Here is a 20,062-nt window from a genome sequence, read left to right on the forward strand (position 1 = left end):
GGGCTGCAACCCTCATGACCTCATTTAACTTTAATTACCTCTTTCAAGGATATATTAACATTGAAACTGGAGCTCCAACATATGAATTTTGTGGGGAAACAAGTCAATCCATAACAGTGTCTTTTCCAAACACTTGCCCAATGAATGAGAGAAGGTTTTGGCCAAGGTGATGGGATTGCTGGTGCTTCTCACACTTCAGTATGACTGAGATTTACTAAAATGTCCATTAACATCACAGATATCCTAGTCCCCATACCTAGAAATTCTAACTCAGTAATTTTGGGGTGAGGTTCAAAACCGTGTTCTTTTAACAAAAATCCTCAAGGCACAGGATCTCCAAAAAATCTCAAAAATACACTAAAGTAGAAGACAGGTAAAACCTCAGAAAAGGATCAATGTTTTCTCTGAAATCCATGGTTACTATTTTTTGAATCACTATTTTAGTTTACCTGTGTGATCTATCTGGAAGAAAGTATGATCTCCTTATGAGTCGTTTTCATCATTTAATCAAATATCAGGCCAGTTTTTGTTTGTTTGTTAATTTTCTTGCCCAAGCTGTGAAAAACAAAAACTGTTTTTATCTTTATTTTCCACAAATTCATCTTTTTAAGGTTTTCTTTTTTGGGAAAGACTCTGCTTTCTCAGGTTATTTTTTTGACTCTACTCAACTATTCATGAATACAATGGAAATCTCCAATGATATCATTTCTCCCCAACTTTCATGTTGACTTACATTTCCAACCTGTTTTTTCCTTATTACTCTTAATGATATCCTATGCAGTAGGACCTTATTTTTATAATTTTCTGAAGGATGAAATCATCAGTAATAGAAATCAGTTCTTTCAAATGAATAGCTTTTAGTTAAATGGCATTTCGTGGAATCTCCAGTTAGCTGAAATTATCAACTCTGAATATATTCCATCTCTTTATCACCTCTGTAAATGCAACTGGGAAAATCTCAATACTTCTTCAAGCGGCTTCATGAAAATCCTGACCTGAGTTTTGAACTACAGCAGGGAGATTTGGATAAGGATATGATCAAAACTTGGGGAAGCCTCATCTTAAGCCAAAAACTCACTGAAGAAAATTCCCCTTTAAGGTTGGGACCAGTAGAAAGGTGGTACTGGTCATAGCTGTGCCTCAAGCACCGTCCCATCCTTACTCATGTGCATCAAAGGAGGCCACTCATGAGACTAGAACACCAGGTAGCAGCATCAATATCAAAAAGCACCATGGATTTACATGTTGGTCCTCTATGACTGTTAGTAGGAAAACAGCTTGGTAAGCAAAACCAGCGTCAAGTGCAAAGTTCTGCAAACTGTGGCCTGTGGGCCAAAATCTGACTACTGCCTGCTTTTATACATAAAGTATGATTCGAACACAGCCTCACTCATTTGTTTATGTTTTGCCTATGGCTTCTCTCACACTACACTGGCAGAATTGAGTCGTTGTGGCAGAGACTGTATAACCACAAAGTCTAAAATATTTACCATCTGGCCCTTTGTAGCAAGTTTGCCAGCCACTCATCTAGAGTAAGCTCCTCCAGACATATAAAATATGCATATCAGTAGCAGTAGGATAAAAGAAGATGTTCACAGAGAAAAAAAAAAAAAAAAAAAAGCTGCTCTCCGAAGCTCTGAATTTCCTACAATGGGCTGGAGGTCACAAGCAGGAATGTGGACATACTTTGTAGGGTTTCCGTGCTACTAAAATTCAGCTCACCCCTATTCTCCATCACAGCTCCAATCAAGAACTAATAGTTTTACATCAGAAATAGGTTTGAATGGCCCAAAAGCCTGGCTCCCTGCAGGATCGGCTTCAATTCCCTGATGTCTGTCCAACCCTGCAGGGCTGCCTAGACTCTCAGGCGCCACCTTCCCTGCTCAGGGTCATTTAGCTCCTCCTGGCCCCAGTTCTAACAAAGAGGCCACTGACCTGAGTCATTTAGTTCAATTGCTGACAGGAATCCCATTATCTGAGTGCCACTTCCCATTGCGGCCTCTAGATACAGGCACACAGCTTTGCACTCATGATTAACGTGGGGGATGAGTGGTCACGTACACTCACCAATGGGGAGTTCACGGGGAGAAAGAGGCTTTTACGTGCATTAAATCTGCACTCAAGGCCAGACTCTGGACACATTTTTTGTTTTTATTTGTTTGTTTCTTTTTGTTTGTTTGTTTGTTTTCGTTTCTCTCTGACAATCACTGAGTTTCTTCTGTGCTCATTCACTGTGACCTGAAGGGGAGCCTCAGGCATAGGAACTGCTCCTGGCAGCACAGCTGCTTAGACTGTATATTGCATCAGCTGTGAACTTTTGTGGACTAGAATGATAAATAAGAGCCTTCTGTGAGTAACATCATGAAATCAAGCCTGTTTCACTAATAAACTGGCTAATGTTTATTGATTGGATGGTAAATACGTAACAGAAACCTAACAATCAAAAATACATTACAAAAGAGGGAGAAAGAAGGAATGAGCACTTTGGAAAGTGTCTGAGGACATTGGTTTTGGAAAATCAACCTGGGGGTAGAGTTAATGCAGCACACTAAGATCAAAATACCCTCTGCCCAAGGGCATCAACTGGTAAATCAGATCTCTGACCTCACTCAGGAGTACCCTTCTGACCCTGCAGGACATCAATTTCTAAAACACAGTGACACTCAGTAGTACACATATCCTACCCTTTGGCCAAAGCCTGAATTACATAGTTCATCAAATGTCTGATAGCAAAAGAGCTTTCGTTTTACTTAAAAAAATTTTTTTTGTATGCTAAATGTAAAAAAGGCCAAACAAGACCCTCATGCCTTGTTTATGGGTCCTGAGGATCATACCCCAGTCCAAATAGACACTATCACTTATTTAGTAAGAGGTTACATTGACTACTGTGAATGAGGGAAGATCACTGTGGGCCATGTGTGAAGGCTCTTTGGGTTTGTGCAAACCCATGATAAAGATGGGACAATGGCAACAATGATGACAATGATAATTAACAGTTATTAACCATGCCTCTGTGATAGATTCGTTGCTAAGGGTTTTACCTGTGTAGCCTAGTGCAATACTTACAACCACCCTTCAAGATAAATACTATAAGTAACTCCCAAATTACGGAGTGGTAGCTAAGGTCACCACGATGCTATGTCCTAACTATTTTGTCTCTAAGTCACCTTTCCTAAGGCCTTTCTTTGTCGTGAAAATATTGACAATATTTTCTTTTTTATTATTATTATACTTTAAGTTTTAGGGTACATGTGCACAACGTGCAGGTTTTTTACATATGTATACATGTGCCATGTTGTTATGCTGCACCCATTAACTCATCATTTAGCATTAGGTATATCTCCTAATGCTATCCTTCCACCCTCCCCCCAACCCACAACAGTCCCTGGTGTGTGATGTTCCCCTTCCTGTGTCCATGTGTTCTCATTGTTCAATTCCCACCTATGAGTGAGAATATTTTCATGTAAAATGCCAGAAATAATGTGCAGAAGAGAAAATTTTTGAATGTTGCCTTAGCACCCTATGGAAATTTAATCTGTAATTTCTTACTTTTCCATTAACATTCCAAATGTACCCCAGGAATAAGACTCTTGGTACATCCAGAGAGAAGTCCATTTCCTATCTTTAGCTATGTGATTAATAATTATAAAAGTATCAAGAGAGAAAGTTTCATCAGCTCTGGAAGGTTTAAAGCATTCCTATCTGAGGACTTAGAAATGTGTTCTCACAGGATCTCTGATAAGATGGAATCAAGAGCTTGATATGTTTTACTTTTTTAATTTTGATTTTTTTCAGACAGTGTCTCGCTCTGTCACCCAGGCTGGAGTGCTGTCTGTGAAATGGAAATTATAACAGGCCTCTTGGCAGGCCTCCGTGTGACAAATAACAATCTTAACACAAAGACTAGCACATAGTACACACTCACTTAACCATAGCCATTAATGTAACTGGGAGTTATTATATTTCACATTTACGGTCTGACACAGCATTATGTGTTTCCTGTTTTCTAATATGTGAAGTATACATGCAGGAATTCTGGTTTAACCAGTCAAGAGTTTGTTGTTTTATTTTTTGGAATCATTCTAATATGTCCAAAGTATTTTTATCCCTTAGTGAGTTCAATATATAATTGAATTTTTCTTTTTCTTTTTTTTTGAGACAGAGTTTCTTGTCTCCTAGGCTGGAGTACAATGGTGCAATCTTGGCTCACTGCAACTTCCCCTGGGTTCAAGTGATTCTCCTGTCTCAGCCTCCTGAGTAGCTGGGATTACAGGTGCCTGCCAACATGCCAGGCTAATTTTTATATTTTTAGTAGAGACGGGATTTCACTATGTTGGCCAAGCTGGTCTCGAACTCCTGACCTCAGGCGATCTGCCCGCCTCGGCCTCCCAAAGTGCTGGGATTACAAGCATTGAATTTTTCTTTTATTATTGAGTTTCCCACAAGACTTTAGGGACATTCATTTGAGCTTCATTTCTTTTTGTTGCTCACTGAAGAAGGAGATTTTGGACACAGAAGATTAGGTTCGACTGTCTTCCAACCCAATCCATAACTATAAAATTTCACTTTTCTAATTGAAAGCTCAACATGGATTGATCTCATTTGAAATAATTCAGGACTTATTTAAGAAGCTCTTCATATGTTTTAAGGCTTTCCTGATGCTATGATTTCTAATAATAATAAATATTATACCAACTTTCTGCCTGGCAAAACCCGGAGTTTAGGTTGATACTTTTCTCCTCAATTAATAAATGGAGAGAATATTCAAAACAAGCCATTAAAATTGGGCAAAAAATAACAATCTCTTTCCTAATCAGCATGTTGCTCTCCACAAGAATTTAAGAATCCCTGTGGATTACCTCTGTAGACCACGGGATGTAATTTGTTATAGCAGTGGTTCTCAAGCTTAAGTGTACATCCGAATCACTGGGAAAGCTTGTCAAAAAATGGATTTCTGGGACTCACTCCCAGATTTCTGATCTGGTAGGCTGGGTGAGGCTTTGTATTTCTAACAGTTTCCCAGATATGCTGACACTGCTGGTCCAGGGACTACATATTTTTATTGATATACTAGAGTTGTTCATATTTTGGGATACATGTGATATTTTGATACATGTATACAATGTATAATGATTTTGTCAGGGTAATTGGAATATTTATTGCCTCAAACATTTATCTTTTCTTTGTGTTGGAAACATTATAATTCTCATGTAATTATTTTGGAATATACAAAAAATTATCATTAACTATAATTTCCCTACTATACTGTCAAATACTAGACTATATTTCTTCTATCTAACTGTATTTTGGTACCCCTTAATCACCTTCTCTTCATATACCCACCCTTCCTTTTCCAGCCAAGGACAACATTTTGAGAAAATCAGTATTCTTTGAGGAAGTCAAATTTTCTCACCTCTGCAGGGTATATCTTTCACAAGAAAGATCCCATTACTAACCAAGTGGGCTTTGTTTTTAAATAACAGCTTTTTCCCTCATCCTTTCAAATCTGAGCATTCCTCAAGATTCATTCTTTATACGTTTTTATTTTCCTTCTCTTTTGCAGAGAAGTCTTCAGTCTTTCGTGTTCATCTCTATGCAACTGGCTCTCAAGTCTGTTTGTTAAATTTTTTCATTTTTATTTTTTATTTTTTTAGAGACAAGGTCTCACTTTGTTGTCCAGTCTGGAGTGCAGTGGCATGATCATAGCTCACTCTAACCTCAAACTCCTGGGCTCAAGCTCCTTCCACCTCAGCCTCCTGAGTAGCTAGGACAACAAGTGCCACCAAGTCTGTTTATTTTTTTTATAATTTCTTGTAGAGACAGTGTCTCATTACGTTTCCCAGACTTCATGTATCTTCCTAATACCTTCATTTCCCTTTGAATCTAGGTCCAGAATTCCACATCTTTTCCTTCAACAAGAACTTGTGGAACAAATGAATAAGTGGATGAATAAATAGATGGACGAGTGGATATGTAATGCCCCTAGGGCTAACTAAAGAACCAGAAAGCTTCTAGTTAAAATTCTCTTGGCTCTAAGTCTCAGTCTTTTATCCCAATTAATGGTAGAAAGATAATTCTCTATGATATTTTATGAAAATAAGGTTAAGAGAAAAGAGGTGGGGAAGAGTAAAACTGTACTGCAATTGCTAAAATTGTTTAGAAGATTTGGGAAATAAGCAGGCCTGTAACTAAAAACTAGTCACAATGGGATACGGACGAGCTGTAGTAAACTATGATTTGTCTGTATGCCTTTTCCTAGCAATAACCTTTGACTCCCAACATCAGCTATTCTTCATGTGAACCACCTACCATATAAAGCATGATTTTTCAAATTTATGCTACTTCCAAATCCTTTCCAAGTTCAGACAAACTTTAAAAGTAACTCATGCCTATAGTCTACAGTGTCAAACCACCTGAGTTTTTTATTCAGTAGGTCTGGGTTGGGTCCCAAGAGTTTCCATTTAAACAAATTTTTAGCTACTTTTGATGCTGCCAGTATGAGGACAATAAACAGGGTATCACAGCTCCTGGAGACTGGATGGTAGCTGTACTACATTACTACAATAATAATGCTAATTACAAGAATTGAGAAGTAGCCTAGCCACATCTGAATGACACTAGAAAATTTTCTAAAGAAAAAGATAAGAATCAGGTTCAACTATTGGAATGGAAGAACAAAGATCTCTGAAAACCTACCCTTCCATAACAATAACAGGGATATTGGCCCCAAAAAAACCTCAAAAAAAAACCTGTCAAAATCAACTTTTTAAAAATTCTGGAAAGTATGCAAAAGTCTGCCACAATCTGAGAAGTGTTTAGTTAAAAAAAAAAAAAGAAAAAAAGTTGAATCCTATAAAAACAATAAGCTTTGTGATGGTTTAGTATGTCCAAATTTTATCTCCCTTTCCAGCTCTTTAGTGACCTTGAAAACCAACATTCTTGCAACTATGGTAGACTATGAGCCATTGGAAGAGGTAGAACTGAATTTAGCCCATCACATCCATCACATGCCTCATTCCCAAAGAATGTTCACTATTTATGACAGCTCACTGTCTTTATTTGACCAGACTCAGAGTTAGCTTAGTGCAAACAGCCATACTAGAAGGGCATTTATAGAAAAAATAAATAATGACAACTGATTAACATTATAGCTGCCTGATGCAGCATTGCCAGTTGAGGATAAGAGGCTGATTTTTTTTTAAAGCACTGAAAAGTGAAATATCCATAGGAAACTTTGCAAAGCTTTCACATATTCCTGGGAATTAGAAGTCATTCATGTATGCAGGGCTGTGCTCATGGCCTATATCAGGTAAGATTTGAGTAGACACTAAGCTCTCATTGCTATCAGACCTTAAGGCTGTAGACAGCAAAAAGAGAAGTCTAAGGCAGGGTTTTAAACTGCCTACCAAAGCACTGAAATGTACCCAACACATATTGGTTCAAAGCATTTAAGATGTTCTCTAACCAATCATTAACTGACCAAGAAGGTAACCAAATAGAAATATCATAGACCACACACAACAAAGAATACAGACTTTACATAATAGTCCAGATAAGTCAATAAACGAACAAACAGCAGTAACAACAAGCCCAGGTGTGTGGGGGTGATCATCTTCTTTCTATAATTTAAAAATTACATCATTTTAAATGTCCAGTTTTCAATAATAAAGATGAGACACTCAAAGAAACAAGAAAATAGGCCTATACATATGAGAAAAGTCAATAGAAATGGTCCCTGAGAAAGCCTAGATGTCAGACTTACTAGATAAAGAACTGACATTCACTATTAGAAATATATTCAAATAACTAAAGGAAACCTTGTGTAAAGAAGTAAAGGATGAGAATGATTCCCTATGTGAACCCCCAAATATCTGAGACAGGTCTCAGTCAATTTAGGAAGTTTATTTTGCCAAAGTTAAGGATGTCCCCCATGACATAGCCTCAGGAGGTCCTCATGACATGTGCCCAAAGTGGTTGGAGCACAGCTTGGTTTTATACATTTTAGGGAGATATGAGACATCAATCAATATATGTAAGATGTACATTGGTTTGGTCCAGAAAGGCAGGACAACTCAAAGCAGGGAGGGGTCTTCCAGGTCATAAATAGATAAGAGACAAATGGTTGCATTCTCTTGAGTTTCTGATTAGCCTTTCTTAAGGAGACAGTCAGATACGCATTTATCTCAGTGAGCAGAGGGGTGACTTTGAGTTCTGATTGTCCTTTGTCTACAAGGAAATTCCTTGTGAGGGAGGTATGTAGCTTTTTTATCTTAGTAGCTATCGTTTTTAGGAATAGAATGGGAGGCAGGTTGTCCCTAAGCAGCTCCCAGCTTGACTTTTCCCTTTGGCTTAGTGATTTTGGGGTTCCAAGATGTATTTTCCTCTCATAGCTGCTATATAGAGAATATCAATAAAGAGTTAGAAATTATTTAAAATAATCAAATGGAAAGTTAAAAAGTACAATAACTGAAATTAAAAAATTCCCTAGAGCAGTTCAGCTGCAGATGCGAACTGTCGAAAAGAAAAAATCGGTTAACTTGAAGAAAAATCAATTGAGAGTATCCAGTCTGAAGGTCAAAAAGAAAATATAAGAAAAATAAATAAGTAGAGCTTCAGAAATCTGTAGAACCTCATCAGGCACACTATTTTACACATATTCAGAGTGCCAGAATGAGGGGCAAGAGAAAAAGGGGTATAAAAATATTTGAGGACATAATGGTCAAAAACTTACCAAATTTTATGACAAACATTAATCTACATATCCAATTAGTTCAATGAACACCGTGTAGAATAAACTAAGGAGATCCACACTGAGACACATTACAGTCAAACTGTTGAAAAATAAAGACCCTTGAAAGCAGCATGAGAAAAGCAAGTCATCATGTGTAATCAGTACTCAGTGAGATTAACAAAAGACTTCTCAGCAGAAACCATGAAAAGAAAAACACTATCAACTAAGACTTCTGTGTCTAGCAAAACTATTTTTCAAAAATAATAGAGAAATTAAGACACAGAGAAAACTGAGAGAATTTACCACTAGCAGTATAAAAAATATTAAAGGAGATCCCTAGGGCTAATATGAAAGGTCACTAAACAGTAACTTGAATCCTTATAAAGAAAAATGAATACTCCGGGGATAGATATGCCATTCCCCATAATGTGCTTATTTCATACCGTACATATGCCCATATCAAAACATCTCATGTACCCCATAAATATATACACTTACAGTATACCCACAAATTTGTTTTTAATTTTAAAAAGAAAAACTGAACACCATTAAATGCAAAAATAAAAATAATATAAATATATATTTTTTTAAAACACTTTTCTTCTCCTATTCAATATGAGACAGCTACACAACTCAATAATTGTCAATTATGTAAAAGGGCTTATAATGCATAAAGATGTATTTTGGATGCAAATAGCACAAACATACCATGAGAAAGAGTTATGTCAGAGCAAATATTTGTATACTATTTATTATAAATTAAGTTTTTATTAGTCTAAACCACATTGCTTTAAATTAGATGTTAATTATAAACCCTAGGGAAATCACTAAGAAACAGTTCAAGAACAAATGTTAAAGTAAATCACAGGGAAATTAAAATGATATACTAGAAAATATCTAACAGAAAACAAACCAGTAATGATAAAATCGAAAAACTAAAAAAAACCCAGATGTAAGCCATATAAAGCAAGTAAAACATCAGACATAATGACTACCCTATCCATAATTAAGTTAAAAGTAAATTAAATTGACACTTTATTCAAAAGAAAATAAATATATTTATTGAATATATACCTTTTAAAAAGTAAATTAAAATTAAATTTAAAAGAATTAACAAGAAACAGATTCCAATATATGTTATACACTGTCCACAAGAGAAAAACTTCAAATTCAGAGACACAAACAGGTTAAAACTAAAATGCTAGGAAAAAAGATATATGATTCATTAGTACCCAAATAGCCATGCAGTGGCTATAATAACATCAGACAAAATATACTTTAAGACAAATTGTTACTAGAGGCAAAAAAGAACATCTTATAATAATAAAATAGTCTATTATTTAAGACATAAAAATTATAAACCTATATCCACCTAGCAAAAGAGTCCAAAAATGCCTTAAGGAAAAACAGAACTGAAAGAAGAAATAGACAGCTGAATAACAATAGTTGGAGAACTCAGTACTTCACTTTCAATAATGGATGGAATAACTGGCAGAAGATCAGCAAAGATGTGGAAAAGTTGAACAACATTATAAATGAACTATTAATATAAACCTCATAGATAGATGTAAAACATTCTACCCAAAAACTGCAAAATACGCAATAGTCCCCTTTATCTGCAGGGGATGTGTCTCAAGACTCCCAGTGGTTGCCTGAAACTGATAATACTACTGGACCTTATATATGTTGTGTTTTTCTCCTATATGTACATGCCTATGATGAAGTTTAATTTATAAATTAGGCACAGTAAAAGATTATCAATAATGACTAATAAAATAGAACAATTATAACAATATATTGTAGTAAAAGTTATATAAATATGGTCTCTCTCTCTGTCTCTCTCTCTCTGTCTCTCTAAATATCATACTGCATCATAGGTAACTGAAACTTCAGAGAGTGAAACTGTGGGTAGGCAAACTACTATACATTCTTCTCAATGCATTTGGAACATTATTCAACTTAAACCATATATAGGCCATAGAACAGGCCTCAATAAAACTTTATAATGATTAAACCTTCCAAAAAGTATGCTTTCTCATCAAAAATAAAATTAGAAATCAATCACAAAATTCACAAACATATGGAAATTACACAGCACAGTGTTAAATAATGGATAGTAAAAGAAATTGCTTAAATGATTAAATACTTGGAGATGAGTAAAAATGAAAATACAGCATACTGAAAGTTATGGGATGCAGCCAAAGCAGTACTTAGAAGATAATTTATAGCTATAAATGCCTATATTTAAAAAGAAGAAAAATCTAAAATTAATAACCTAACATTTCACTTTAACAAAAAAAGAAAAACAGGAAAATTCAACCCAAAGAAATCAGAAGTAAAGATATAATAAAAACTAAAGCATAAATAAAGAAAACATTATTGGATCTAAGGATGGGAAATGTTCTTAATGTCTTCATACAAAGGAAAAAACCTAACAAACTAGACAATAAAATTTTATGGATTTCATTACTTTAAAATTTAGAGTTTATATTAAACAAATTACAACTCTAAACAAAAGTAATAGAGATATGAGATTGGAAGAAGATATTTGCAATCCATAAAACTCACAAGAGTATCACCTAGAACTAAACTGTTCAATACATAGTCACTGGTCACATATGGTTATTTACATTTGAATTTAAATCAATTACATAGAATTATATTTCAGTCCCTCAACTGAACTAACCATATTTTAAGTACTCCCTAGCCAGATGGCTGGGGGGACCATGTTAAACAGTTTGATATAGAACATTTCCATAATCAGAGAAAGCTCTATGAAACAGACCTAATCTAGAATATATCACAAACTTATAAAAATTAACTACAAAAACCAGGAAACTCAAAATAAACGTGAGTAAAAATATAAATAAACATGTCATAGGAGGAAAAGTCTAACTGGTTATCAAGATTTCCACATATGCCTTAGTAGGAATCAGAGAGAAGAAAATTAAAAGCAATGAGATGCCAGGTTAGACCCATTTGACTAACAAAAATCTAAAAGTAGGGTTTTAGCAAATTTTGGTGAAAACTACAAGAAATGAGAAACTTCATTGAGTGTTGATGGGGGTGTAATTAACATAGTTGTTGTGGAAAGCATCAGCAACATTTAGTAAAATTAAGAATAGATATCCTAGCATTCACACACCTGGTTGTATATATCAGAGAAATTCTCATCCAAACTGATACGATACAAACAGTCACAGTCCTGGATGCTTAATCTATTATTTTTGAGCTAGTTCAGTAGGTCTGTTATTTTGAGCTAGTTCCGTAGAATTTACTAGAATTCTTGCTCTTTCCTTCTGTTTCTAACAAATTTTACTCACATACAGTTGCTTTCAGGATATACTGAAAGCAAAAGTCTTGCCCTGATTTCTGAATAAATGTAAAAAAAAAAAAGGGCAATAGTGTACATTGGTAACACCAAAAGCAGAACTCAAGTGTTTAAGAACAGTCACCAAGTACATGGTTGTCATAAACTTTGGGTCCATAGGCAGGATATGAATATGGGGATGGTAAAATTATATTCTACCTTTCTTTGTGACAGCAGATCTACTGTTTTTCTTGTCCCCTCCCTCCCCAATCAAGTGAATATTAGTATTTTTATTTGCCGATTCACCAAGCCAACTCTAGCAGCCTTGTACTTGGAGGTAATTCTTCTATTCCTGTTATTCTTTGCTTTTGGATTTGTTATTGTAAGCTTTTTAAAATATATATACAAATTTCATGCATGGACACTTCATTGAAAACTGAGAAATACTATAACAAGAGCTGCCAGGTAGGCACTATTTGAAACCTATTTCAAACTATTTGAAACAACACAACATGCAGGGCAACTCGGTTTGACTTAAAAGCACAACTTCTAAAGTCCAAAAATTCCTCCACATTCAGGCCCCACAATGGGCATGAGAGAAAAGGCTGAGCAGCTGTGGAACACCTCACTCTGGGAAGATTTAATCTAGTGTTTGGAATCTGATAATCTAGTGGAAATATGGTCCTTGGGCTCAGTGGAAATGTCAAGCATAGAGATGGTACTTTTAGTATTGTGGCAGATAGAATTCTAATATAACCTCATAATTCCTGCCCCCTAGTATCCCCTACCCTTGAATGTGGATATGATTTGTAACTTGATTATATTTCTTTCCCTGTCTCAGAACTTTATTTTTTTAAAGAACTCTATTGAGATATCATTCATGAACCATGTAGTTTATACACTTAAGGTATACAGGTCAAAGGTTTTAAGTATATTTATGAATTATAATTTGCTTCTAACCAATAGAATATGGCAAAGATGAAGGAATTTTTCAGATTTAATTAAGATGCCTAATCACTTGACTTTAATCAAAAGGGAAATTATCCTATGTGGGCCTGACTTAATCAGTTGAGCCCTTTAAAAAAGAATCTAGAGGTGAAAGACTCAGCTGCAGAGACTCCCTCTTTCCTCCTGGCTCTGAAGTTCCATGCATGCTATAACCACAAGAAAATGAATTCTGTCAACAACCTGAGAGAATATGGAAGAGGGTGCCAAGGGTCAGGTGAGACTGCAGCCCTGGCTGACAATTTGTTTTTATTTTTATTTTTATTTTTGCAATGGATTCTTGCTCTGTCACCCAGGCTGGAGTGGAGTGGTGTGATCTAGGCTCACTGCAATCTCCACCTCCTGGGTTCAAGCGATTCTCCTGTCTCAGCCTCCCAAGTAGCTGGGATTACAGGTGTGCACCACCACACCCAGCTAATTTTTGTATTTGTATTAGAGACATGGTTTCATCATGTTGACCAGGTGGATCTTGAACTCCTGACCTCAAGTGATCTGCCCACCTCAGCCTCCCAAAGTGCTGGGATTACAGGTCCTAGCCACTGTGACAGGCTTGTTATTGTTTTTTTCCCCATTTTTCATTGACACAGAGTAATTGTATATATTTATGGGATACACAGCGATGTTATTATATGTGTATACCATGTATTCTGATCAAATCAGGGTAATAAGTATATTCATCTTCTTTTATCTTTGTGAGAGTACCCAGTTATGCTGTTCCCAGAATCCTGAATTATGGAAACTGTGTGATAATAAATGAGTGTTGTTTTATGCTGCTAAGTTGTGGTAATTTGTTACATAACAATAAAAAACTTACATAAGCATTGTGGATGGGTCATCTGTCTTTGGCAGCCAGGAGGCAAAAAGACATAGAGGATTACTCCTCAGAAGAATACTGAAAGAGGAGGCATACTCAACAGAGATGGTGTCATCTTTATAAAAGAAGATCAAGAACGATGTCACAGAATTGAAGGAGAAAAGAGACCCAAAGGAGAAGGGTGGTTAAGTTCAACATGCTGCAAAAATATCAAGAGGAATGCAAACTAGAACTGACAAAGGCATTACAAGAAAGGTCATTGATACTTTACAGAGTCCAAAGGCTTTAACAACCAATTCCTAGTCAAAAAGAATCATGGCATCTGAAGCTCTCAGCTTGAACAGCAGCAGCGGCCTGAAGTTCAGAGTAACAATCAAACTCACAAGACAGAAAAAGCTATACCCAGAGCCAACTTTATTTAGCTTTCAGAAAGGATACATGTAGGAGGACCACAACTCAACATGCAGGGCAACTTGGTTTGACTTAAAAGCGCAGCTTCTAAAGTCCAAAAATTCCTCCACATTCAGGCCCCACAATGGGCATGAGAGAAAAGGCTGAGCAGCTATGGACCACCTCACTCTGGAAAGATTTAAATTCTGGGGTCTTTTCAGTTTTTCTACCTTACTAGTCATGTATCTCCTCAAGGGCATCCTACTGGTGCATAGTCTTATGCAGCTGTCTTAGGGCAGCTGAATATCATCAGTATCAGTTACTGATTACTCAATAAATCATGTTGACAAGGAGTTAAAGGTGCTTATCCGTTGCATAGTCACCTTGGTTAGGGTCTCATTTATTTTAAATCTGCTATACTTTTATCAAATCTTTGAGTTAATGTTGCAAGAATGATTTGACCAAGGAAAAAATCTTGGGGCTATAGGAAACATCACATATCAACCTTTCAAGCAGAGGAAACACAGCCATAACTCAGTGTCTGAGTGCTTTCTCTAGAGTCTGCACTCCACTCACTCACACTGCAGTAAATTTTTCCAATGTTGTTTATTCTATATCGATATCATGTTCCATCTCTCTGATGTCTCCTCAACTCTATGATTTCAGCAAGGTAACCACTCTGAGCTGAGAAGCCCATCTTCATTTATAGGACCTTCTTTTGTACCATACCATCTCACACAGCCTGCACTTATAGTGCATTTACAGTAGTCAGTGTCTTTGCTTCAACCCTGGACTCATTTATTTATTCCGTCCCAATGTATAACCCTGACCTCCAGCTGCTTCAGGATGGTCAAGTTTGTAAAACTAGTAGGAACCATATTGCAAATGTTGCCTAATGGGAAGAAATAATATTACAGTCTATTAGAGTTGCCAACTTTGCAAAACTGCTTACTGACCACTGGAGATTCTTAGACTTTACACTAAAAAGCTACATGATTATTTTATGTCAATCCCATTTTACAACCAGGAATTGTAAGTAACATACAATGTAGGGGATAATTCTGGTAGGTGGTAAGGTGAGGCTGCCTTCAAACCAATTTGGGGGAGCAGATTTTTGACTAATCCCAAGAACTAAGATGAGAAATCACAGATCTTATTTTCTGGTTTTTTTTCTCTCCCCATATGCAACTTCACACACATGTACATAAACACTACATGCATTATCCCCACACACCTACAACATACACACAATATCCTACTTATCTATCCTGTAAGTTACCTGTCATGCTCTTACCCTCTCCATAGTACCCTCTAGCAATGAAGAGGAAGAAGGAGGAGGAGGAGGAGGGCAGAATAGACCTTCCTCAACTTATGCCATTGTCAGATAGGAGGATTCTGGATCTAAGGATACACCAGATAGTCAATGAATTTTCCAGGTATACCGCAGACTGAAAGACAGCTTTCCACGGAGAAAACACAGAAAAGGATAGTCTTACCCACATGAACAGAAAAGCCTGACAAAGGGTTGTATCCATCTCAATCCTGCTACCTTAAGGAAATGCTCCTGGCCTAACAAAAGTATGCCAAAACATGTATGTGTACAGTTTTCTGTGCAAAACATAGTGTTCAGGATGTCATTTGTTATGAATCTATTTTAACCCACTAGCACACTGCTGTATCTTTGTTCTTTCTGCTCTAACTCCTGACTTCAGGTATTGGACTTTGAGTTTTTGTCTGGACTTCCCAGACTGTCATCACAGGTAATTGACTTCTCAGACTTGGAACTATTCAGTTCCATCCTGCAGTCAGTGGATGATTCCTACTCTCTAACCTGGCATCTCTGCCTGACTCTGAGAATCCGTCCCATCTTCTTCCATTAAGATAGTATATGGCTTGAGATTCTAAAACATCCACTTCTTCCTCCATGCCCAAAGTACAGCCTTAGAGCCTGGACCTTTGACATGTGGTGAACTTTGAGAAAGTGATTTTCACAGAGAACATAAAGAATAAATTTATTATTATTATTATTATTATTATTATAATACTTTAAGTTTTAGGGTACATGTACACAATGTGCAGGTTAGTTACATATGTATACATGTGCCATGCTGGTGTGCTGCACCCATTAACTCGTCATTTAGCATTAGGTATATCTCCTAATGCTATCCCTCCCCCCTCCCCTCACCCCACAAGAGTCCCCAGAGTGTGATGTTCCCCTTTCTGTGTCCATGTGCTCTCATTGTTCAATTCCCACCTATGAGTGAGAACATGCGGTATTTGGTTTTTTGTCCTTGCGATAGTTTGCTGAGAATGATGATTTCCAATTTCATCCATGTCCCTACAAAGGACATGAACTCATCATTTTTATGCATAGTATTCCATGGTGTAAATGTGCCACATTTTCTTAATCCAGTCTATCACTGTTGGACATTTGGATTGGTTCCAAGTCTTTGCTATTGTGAATAGTGCCGCAATAAACATATGTGTGCATGTGTCTTTATAGCAGCATGATTTAGAGTCCTTTGGGTATATACCCAGTAATGGGATGGCTGGGTCAAATGGTATTTCTAGTTCTAGATCCCTGAGGAATCGCCACACTGACTTCCACAATGGTTGAACTAGTTTACAGTCCCACCAACAGTGTAAAAGTGTTCCTATTTCTCCACATCCTCTCCAGCACTGTTGTTTCCTGACTTTTTGATGATTGCCATTCTAACTGGTGTGAGATGGTATCTCATTGTGGTTTTGATTTGCATTTCTCTGATGGTCAGTGATGGTGAGCATTTTTTCATGTGTTTTTTGGCTGCATAAATGTCTTCTTTTGAGAAGTGTCTGTTCATGTCCTTTGCCCACTTTTTGTTGGGGTTGTTTGTTTCTTTCTTGTAAATTTGTTTGAGTTCATTGTAGATTCTGGATATTAGCCCTTTGTCAGATGAGTAGATTGCGAAAATTTTCTCCCATTTTGTAGGTTGCCTGTTCAGTCTGATGGTAGTTTCTTTTGCTGTGCAGAAGCACTTTAGTTTAATTACATCCCATTTGTCAATTTTGTCTTTTGTTGCCATTGCTTTTGGTGTTTTAGACATGAAGTCCTTGCCCATGCCTATGTCCTGAATGGTAATGCCTAGGCTTTTTTCTAGGGTTTTTATGGTTTTAGGTCTAACATTTAAGTCTTTAATCCATCTTGAATTAATTTTTGTATAAGGTGTAAGGAAGGGATCCAGTTTCACCTTTCTACATATGGCTAGCCAGTTTTCCCAGCACCATTTATTAAATAGGGAATCCTTTCCCCATTGCTTGTTTTTCTCAGGTTTGTCAAAGATCAGATAGTTGTAGATATGCGGCATTATTTCTGAGGGCTCTGTTCTGTTCCATTGATCTATATCTCTGTTTTGGTACCAGTACCATGCTGTTTTGGTTACTGTAGCCTTGTAGTATAGTTTGAAGTCAGGTAGCGTGATGCCTCCAGCTTTGTTCTTTTGGCTTAGGATTGACTTGGTGATGCGGGCTCTTTTTTGGTTCCATATGAACTTTAAAGTAGTTTTTTTCCAATTCTGTGAAGAAAGTCATTGGTAGCTTGATGGGGATGGCATTGAATCTATATATTACCTTGGGCAGTATGGCCATTGTCACAATATTGATTCTTCCTACCCATGAGCATGGAATGTTCTTCCATGTCTTTGTATCCTCTTTTATTTCATTGAGCAGTGGTTTGTAGTTCTCCTTGAAGAGGTCCTTCACATCCCTTGTAAGTTGGATTCCTAGGTATTTTATTCTCTTTGAAGCAATTGTGAATGGGAGTTCACTCATGATTTGGCCCTCTGTTTGTCTGTTATTGGTGTATAAGAATGCTTGTGATTTTTGTACATTGATTTTGTATCCTGAGACTTTGCTGAAGTTGCTTATCAGCTTAAGGAGATTTTGGGCTGAGACAATGGGGTTTTCTAGATATACAATCATGTCATCTGCAAACAGGGACAATTTGACTTCCTCTTTTCCTAATTGAATACCCTTTATTTCCTTCTCCTGCCTAATTGCCCTGGCCAGAACTTCCAACACTATGTTGAATAGGAGTGGTGAGAGAGGGCATCCCTGTCTTGTGCCAGTTTTCAAAGGGAATGCTTCCAGTTTTTGCCCATTCAGTATGATATTGGCTGTGGGTTTGTCATAGATAGCTCTTTTTATTTTGAGATTTGTCCCATCAATACCTAATTTATTGAGAGTTTTTAGCATGAAGAGTTGGTGAATTTTGTCAAAGTTCTTTTCTGCATCTATTGAGATAATCGTGTGGTTTGTCTTTGGTTCAGTTTATATGCTGGATTACATTTATTGATTTGTGTATATTGAACCAGCCTTGCATCCCAGGGATGAAGCCCACTTGATCATGGTGGATAAGCTTTTTGATGAGCTGCTGGATTCGGTTTGCCAGTATTTTATTGAGGATTTTTGCATCAATGTTCATCAAGGATATTGGTCTAAAATTCTCTTTTTTGGTTGTGTCTCTGCCCGGCTTTGGTATCAGGATGATGCTGGCCTCATAAAATGAGTTAGGGAGGATTCCCTCTTTTTCTATTGATTGGAATAGTTTCAGAAGGAATGGTACCAGTTCTTCCTTGTACCTCTGGTAGAATTTGGCTGTGAATCCATCTGGTCCTGGACTCTTTTTGGTTAGTAAGCTATTGATTATTGCCACAATTTCAGATCCTGTTATTGGCCTACTCAGAGGTTTAACTTCTTCCTGGTTTTGTCTTGGGAGAGTGTACGTGTTGAGGAATTTATCCATTTCTTCTAGATTTTCTAGTTTATTTGCTTAGAGTTGTTTCTGGTATTCTCAGATGGTAGTTTGTATTTCTGTGGGATCGGTGGTGATATCCCCTTTATCATTTTTTATCGCGTCTATTTGATTCTTCTCTCTTTTTTTCTTTATTAGTCTTGCTAGCGGTCTATCAATTTTGATGATCCTTTCAAAAAACCAGCTCCTGGATTCATTAATTTTTTGAAGGGTTTTTTGTGTCTCTATTTCCTTCAGTTCTGCTCTGATTTTAGTTATTTCTTGCCTTCTGCTAGCTTTTGAATGTGTTTGCTCTTGCTTTTCTAGTTCTTTTAATTGTGATGTTAGGGTGTCAATTTTGGATCTTTCCTGCTTTCTGTTGTGGGCATTTAGTGCTATAAATTTCCAAAGTCGAAATGAAGGAAAAAATGTTAAGGGCAGCCAGAGAGAAAGGTCGGGTTACCCACAAAGGGAAGCCCATCAGACTAACAACAGATCTCTCAGCAGAATCTCTACAAACCAGAAGAGAGTGGGGGCCAATATTCAACATTCTTAAAGAAAAGAATTTTCAACCCAGAATTTCACATCCAGCCAAACTAAGCTTCATAAGTGAAGGAGAAATAAAATACTTTACAGACAAGCAACTGCTGAGAGATTTTGTCACCACCAGGCCTGCTCTAAAAGAGCTCCTGAAGGAAACACTAAACATGGAAAGGAACAACCAGTTCCAGCTGCTGCAAAATCATGCCAAAATGTAAAGACTATCAAGACTAGGAAGAAACTGCATCAACTAACGAGCAAAATAACCAGCTAACATCATAATGACAGAATCAAATTCACACATAACAATATTATCTTTAAATATAAATGGACTAAATGCTCCAATTAAAAGACACAGACTGGCAAATTGGATAAAGAGTCAAGACCCATCAGTGTGCTGTATTCAGGAAACCCATCTCACATGCAAGACACACATAGGCTCAAAATAAAAGGATGGAGGAAGATCTACCAAGCAAATGGAAAACAAAAAAAGGCAGGGGTTGC

The 20,062-nt window shown here is 36.8% G+C and overlaps 1 protein-coding gene across 1 annotated transcript in view, besides 1 other annotated feature; it reads left to right on the plus strand.

Annotated features, from left to right (window-relative positions):
- Nucleotides 1-20,062, plus strand: part of CTNNA2 (catenin alpha 2) — a 1,463,404-nt gene that overhangs the window by 206,652 nt on the left and 1,236,690 nt on the right. The gene's annotated exons all lie outside the window — the stretch shown is intronic.
- Nucleotides 1,729-2,296: an enhancer, noted in NCBI's record as "NANOG hESC enhancer chr2:79620883-79621450 (GRCh37/hg19 assembly coordinates)". NCBI's record gives its function as "activates a minimal SCP1, AML or CMV promoter by ChIP-STARR-seq in primed H9 embryonic stem cells {active_cell/tissue: H9 hESC(primed)}" and the evidence as "EXISTENCE:reporter gene assay evidence [ECO:0000049][PMID:30033119]".

The sequence above is a fragment of the Homo sapiens genome, chromosome 2, assembly GCF_000001405.40.
Source record: "Homo sapiens chromosome 2, GRCh38.p14 Primary Assembly".
Classification (NCBI taxonomy): domain Eukaryota; kingdom Metazoa; phylum Chordata; class Mammalia; order Primates; family Hominidae; genus Homo; species Homo sapiens.